The sequence below is a fragment of the Homo sapiens genome, chromosome 4 (assembly GCF_000001405.40).
Source record: "Homo sapiens chromosome 4, GRCh38.p14 Primary Assembly".
NCBI lineage: Eukaryota > Metazoa > Chordata > Mammalia > Primates > Hominidae > Homo > Homo sapiens.
In genome coordinates, this window is record NC_000004.12 from 62,372,024 (window position 1) to 62,378,981 (window position 6,958).

The window sequence follows — 6,958 nt, forward strand, 5'->3', positions numbered from 1 at the left end:
TATAGTATTTACATGTTAAGTTGGACTCTGTCTTACATTAATTTGCCTGTGCCTTCTAAAGTGGAATTACCTGGAGGCAATTCAATTGTAAGTATAAATGCAAACTGTATAAATGGGGATTAAAGTATAAATGGGGATTAAAATTGTCTAAGAGAACTCACACATGTAATGGATATCTTTTTAGTATGGGACCCATGAGTTTCTAAAACTACTGGGAGATAATGCATAAGACCTGCAACACAAACTAACAAGGGGTAGGCTTTTTAAAACTAGGGAAATAGCTTCATTTTTTGTTTTAAAGAAATAATGGGTGTCTCTAGAGAAGAGTAGGAGCAGGGTTCTATTATTTGACCCATGTAGGCTATGTGTAATCTCAGCCAGCCTGGATTCAATTCTTCATTTCCATGCCCTGGCACTTTATTGCAACTGATTTGTAATCTTTGTGCATTTTCCACATAAAATATTTTCTGTAATATCATGTAAAAGTGAAAAATGGCTTTGTTGAGTAGGCGTTGTTAAATTTATAAGTTACAAGCAATACTAAAGCCTGAAATTTAGATGAACACCTGGAATCATGGAAATCTTAAGTTTAGTAAAAGTCATGGGTCTTTTTTTTTTTTTTTTTTTTTTTTGAGATGGAATTTTGCTCTTGTTGCCCAGGCTGGAGTGCAATGGTGCGATCTCGGCTCACAGCAACTCTGCCTCCTAGGTTCAAGCGATTCTCTTGCCTCAGCCTCCCAAGTAGCTGGGATTACAGGCATACGCCACTGCGTTCGGCTAATTTTGTATTTTTAGTAGAGACGAGGTTTCTCCATGTTGGTCAGGCTGGTCTCGAACTCCCGACCTCAGGTGATCCTCCCACCTTGGCCTCCCAAAGTGCTAGGATTTCAGGCATGAGCCACCATGCCCGACCTAAAGTAATGGGTCTTGTATTTGTAGAGATTCACATTTTTTGACAGCAAAGTAATATATTACTCAATGAAACAATAATTCAAACCCAGATAAAAATTAAAAACAAACATTTTTACTTTACTCTTTTCTTTCCCCAGTTTTTCCTACTTTTCTACTTTTTAAAAATACTTCTCCCCCTTCCTTTTCTGTTTCAGTCCTCTCCTCACTCTCTCTTCATTTCGTTTATCATTAAATGAGGATTATGAAATATACACTATTTGTCAGGTATTATGCTAAACACAGAGGATTCACAGATGCATAAGAGGCAGTCTTGAATTTCAAGGAGATTTCAGTGTAGTAGGAAGTAGAAACACAATAAATTATTTAGGTGATGGGCTGAGGTGGTTAACACCTAGGAAAGGAAGATACAGTTGAATTGAAATGGAGGGGCCAAAAAATTTGGCAAGGGAAGTTTTGAGGTTAGGTGAGGGTCAAGAGGGGCTTCTAAGAGTCATCTTTTACACTGAATCTTTAAGGACACATAGGCTACTCTGGTGGTCATTTAGACCCACGGTAGAATGTATTACAGTACACAATACATATTTAAAAACTTTCTGCACACATGGGGAGGGATTATCTCTGAAATAGATACCTGACTATTTCTGTTGAGCCTATTATTAATGGTATTACACTTTTATGTCCATTAGAAACACCTGAAGTGTTAAATAAGCAGGTTGGTATGTAGACCCTTTCCCCAAAGAAACTAATTAGATCTGTAGCAGGACTGAGCAATCAGTGTTAAATCCTGATTGTTTAAGCAGGTGATCCAGAGTCTATAGATTTATAAACTCCACCACATTTGGCTTGCAAATATAATGATAGGTTTGCAGTTGTGTTTGGCTATAGGGGTTGATTTTTTTTTAAATAAAAAAGAAGAATTGTTTAGAGTACACTGGGTAGAGGTGGCTGAAGCACATTTATGAAGATATAACCAGAAAAGAGAATCTCTGAGAATGTTAGAAGTGAGGTGCTTCCTGAGGTGAAATGGGTAGTAAAAAATTGTGAAAGCTGCAGTAGTGTAAGGGATGCAGAATGTCTAAGTGTAGCAATTTATAATGGTTGACTTGTTTTTGTTTTGTTTTAATAAAAAATCTCTTTTGCTTCACAAAAGCTTTAGTAAAGTTGACTGCATAAACATGGTTAGCTGTATGTAACTTATTTTTATTTAAGACAATAAGAAAGACGTTTTATCAGTCATGAGCTAGAGCCAAGCTGTACAGCATGGAAGATACAATTTCTAAAATTACAGGGATTTTGTGAGGTAGTTGCTAAATATAACCATCATTAAAAATTAACATATAAACTTACATATAAAAATTAACGTGTAAGCTTACAAGCAAATATATTGTATTAATAATAGCTAATATATATTGAAAAGATATCATGACCTAATTATTTTACTACAATGTACTATTATCTTTGTTTTTGAAGCTATTGATGCCTACTGTATCTAAGTATGTATATACATATGTATATACATTTATATCTGAGTAATCTAAATATACTCAGACACAATAGATATTAATAACCTGAAAAGCAAAGATATGTACGCAGTGGTATACTACTGCACATCTCTTCTCAAGTCTTCATACAGAGACCTCTCATTGGTATCTTGAAATTGTCACGATGGGGGAATTTGCAACATGAAAATTATCAAGCATTGCAGAGAAAGACTCGGTATTTTTCTTGTTTTCTTTTGAAAGCTGGTTCTTAACTCACTGTCTCAGTGGACTACTTTTTTGTCTTTCCTCCCTCCCCACCCTTCCTTTTCCTTTTGTCTTTCTTCTTCCCTCCCTTTCTTCCTCTGTCCTTCCATTCTTTGTTTTTTCCACTTTACCCATCTGGTATTCATTTTCCTTTCATAGGGCTGTGGCTTTTGAGAAACACCTACTTGTACTAACAGCCTGTCTACTTTTTATGACATGATTCAGTGGAATATAAAGAATTTAGAGTAAACCAGTCTAAACATCTACACATTCTATTCTCAGCCATAGCTGATTCTGAGAAATGCACTTGACTCAAGTCAGGCTAGTCACAGTTAAAATTTTACACTTGATCTTAGCCAAAAGGCTGAGAAACTATAGATAAAATTTTAATTGCAATCCCAAGATTTTTGTTTGAAAGGCCTGGGAAACAGTCTATTACTTTTCCTTTGGACATTAATCACCAGGATAATAGCCTGTGGATTCCTGGCACTAACATGGTGGCTAGGAGGGAAGATGGCTTGAGGGTGAAGCCAGGACAAAAAAAGAACTAAGCACACAAGATAGTGTGCCCTGTTCATATCATCTGAGCCCTAGATTAAGCTATATCTGGATTATTCACCTCCTTGAGTGAACACATTACTTTTCTTCATTAAGTATGTTTGGGGGTCTTTCCCACATTAGTTATATAAAATCTTCCAATTGCAGCAGACTGAACTTTATATCTTGTATAAAATAGTGCAAAACAGAGATCGTTCCTATGGGCTGGTGAGATAATCCATGAACTGGAGAAGCAAGAGTCCAGGCAGAACCTGCGGAGATAGCAGAGACTCACCAAGAAAAAAGAAACTGAGCTCTCAGACTTGGCAACTAGTGATGGTTACATTATTCACTATGTTTAACTTTACTATCTATTAGTATTTGGTCTTTAAATAGTAATTATTTTTTATTCTATTGTTACGCAGTTTTACAATCTGCATTTCTTGGTTTTATGTATTTTACCTGAAGGATTAGTTAAAATAAATATTTCATGAGGTCAAAGACTGTATTTTTGTTTTGTTTTTAACCTCACATCATCCCATCCTTTGAAATATTGTGTGTTTGAGAAATGTTGTTAATTGATTAACTACATTTTATTGCATCTTAGGGAGAGATCTTAGTATCAAAATTCTTTTGTATTTCCATTATTTATTGTAATGGAAATATTATATATTTCCATATATAGGAAAATTATATATATCCTAGAGTGCTTTCGTGAAAAAAATGGATAATAAATTGAGCAAATTAGATCAATATCCTCTATCTGTGATAACTTATAAATAAGAAGATTAGGGGAAGTGATAGAAGATGAATTTTCTTGTTAAGGAGTTCATGCATTAAGTAGAACTTAAAATAGTTTGATCCTGGGGTGACCATACATTCTATTTGCCACTTATGCTGGCAAATTATTAATAGCACTCTCTTTAATTCTCAACAGTGTCCCAGTTTGTATGATAAATTACATTGCCCAGTAGTTATTAAAATATTTCTCAAACCTGCATATCATCTGAATTACCAGGAGACAGATTTTTTTAAATATAAACTATTTCCAACATGTAAAAAGAAAGAAAATAATAGAAACCTGTATGCCCACAATCAAAATCTGATAAATGTTAACATTTTGCCATTTTTCTTTAACTGTTTTCTTGTAAAAGCAAGACAATATTACAATTAGTATTAATAAATCTACTATCCCAATCTTGTCATCTTCCCTTTCTCCCCAGAGATAATTATTATGGTCAGTAAATTATCCTGCCCATGCATTCATTTATATTTTGATTGTGTGTGTATTAAAGACTTAGATGTAGTAATTTGCACAGTTTAATACTGTTTATATAAAAGTTACTAAAACAAAAACAGCAATATATATTTTTATGAAAACATTTTAAAAATATGAATTACTGAACATCTGTCCTATGCATTAACTCAGAATGTTTTGGATTTGGAACCAGGAATATATATTGTGTCCCAGATGATTTTGATATGTAGATAGCTTTGGGAAATTTGATTATTGTCAGATCCCAAACTAATTTACAATGTTTAATTAGATTTATAATATCTAGCTTGATGGGCTAGAGATTCAATATTGAATATAGGCAATAAACATCCGAGGATGAAATCTGATAAGCTAAACAGATCAACTTTTCAGTGATCTTTAAAATACAGCCTGTTATGTTTTCCTCTTATCATATTAGTATATTAGTTTCACATGGGTTTTCAAGGGTGAGAACTATGGAATTTCCACCTATTATTTCAATTCCCAAATTGAAGTAGGCCAATTAAGCTGTGAAGCAAGACAATTAAACTGTGTGGTCATGGGCATACGGCAATATACTAAAAATTACATTTAGGAAATACTTACGTGAATAAAAGATAATGCTAATGCATTATTGAGTTTTAGGAAAGGCCAAAAACATTTTAGAAAACATTAATGGGTTCAGAGAATGGATGCTGAGAATATGCTCTTAATGTATTGAATTAAGAAAGAATAATACAGAAGGCAAAAATGAACTTTCAGAATAGAAACTATTAGAGAAGAATAAAGGTATAGGCCTAAGTAAATTGCTAATTCCTTGTATGCACTGAAAAGTATCTAATTTCAAGCACTTTACTAAATTTATTGAAATTCTTAGAGTATTATATATTTGACTTCCTTAATCATTGCATGTTTTGTCTCTTTTTAACCAAAACCAACTGACCTGGTATGCTCTGATTATATGAGTGTTTACACAATTGTCCTTGAGTCCTAAAGCAAACTGTGATTCATTTCATACAATGGTACTAATGATAGAAAACAACTTAGAAAATCAACTTTGAGACTTCTGGAAAGTTTCAAGTGACATATCCTAAATATTTACATGTATATTTACATGAGACTTCATTGACAGATTCTCACCACCAAACTTCATCAATCAAGCATCATTTGGAGTGAATTGGAAAGATACACATTCTCAAAATATCTTCAAAAGATTTAATGATGTCGCTCTATGTTTCTAAAAGTTACAGTGACTTTGGCACCTCATCATTTTACTTGTCTTTTGGAGTCTCAAGATAATAGAAAGGGATTAATGAAAAGGATAGGATAATTTGGGAAGAAATTGTGGTTTGCAACTGAGCTATCAAATAAATCACCCTCTAAAGGAGACAACAATAGAGAAGATTTTGCCTCTAGCCATTGGGTAAAGATAAGCATTCAAAATGAGACAATGAAGGCTGGGGTAGATAATAGCTTATCCAGCAGAGTGATGTTTCCAATTAATGTTAATAGAAGCATATAGAATTTCACAATACTGCTGTTAGCCATTCTTAGAATTTTGTTAACATCTGTATGCCTATCCTTTATTCAACACCTTGAATAAAAAAGTGGGGAAAAATTGAATCAATGCTTCTTTATCGAAGGTAAGGGAGATTTTAATTGAGAATCACATTTTTTAAAAGTGGTTTAGAAAAAAGTAAGGTGGTTTCGCATTGCTCTTTATTACACAGATAATTCTTACATAAGTTTTGACCCCATTAATCTGCTAATTAAATATCACAAGTGTCTGAATCTGTGGGAAACATTGGACATCTAGAAATGAAAAGGCAGATGCAGTTACTGCAAATTATGGTACCCCATGGTAAATGCAATGTAGGGAGATTACAAGGTGCTACGAGAACATGTATGAAAGTTACTTAACCCAGGCTTAATGGTTAGGAAATGCCTTCCAGTGAGAGAGAACTAAATCAAGAACAGAAAGAAAGGTGGGGGTTAAGCTAAAAGGATAGGGGTTGGGGGTTAAAGTTTATGATAAAATTAACGGCATGTGCAAAAACCTGTAATAAGGATAATATGCTTAAATCACTAAAAGAAGTTAGCTTTGATAGACTCCTAAGAGGAACAGGGAATGAGAGTGATGAGACACATAGCTGAAAAATGATCCAATGACACTTGAATTTGATTATAGGAACTGTGGATAGTTATTGAAGTCTAGATGTGATCATCCTTGGGTTTTAGAGAGGTTCCTTTAGTTCATTGTGGAGAATAGATTAGAGGAAGTCTCAAACGGAGGGAGGGAGAGCTTTCAGTAGTCCACGTGACTCTAGAAAAGGGTAGAGGCCAATAAGAGAAATAGGCGGATTTGACAGATTTTGGGGGTGGTACTGACAGAACTTGGTGATTAATTGGAGTTGATGATAAGGGAATAAGAAGAAATAAGAGTAACATCCAAGGTGAATCTTGCTGTTGGTAAGTGGGACTAGTGTATTGTAATGCCCTTGAATGAGGT

The 6,958-nt window shown here is 34.1% G+C and overlaps 1 pseudogene; it reads right to left on the bottom strand.

Moving 5' to 3' along the window:
* Positions 1–2,881: 2,881 nt before the first annotated feature.
* Positions 2,882–3,033, bottom strand: LOC124900921 (uncharacterized; annotated as a pseudogene).
* Between the last annotated feature and the right edge of the window lie 3,925 nt (positions 3,034–6,958).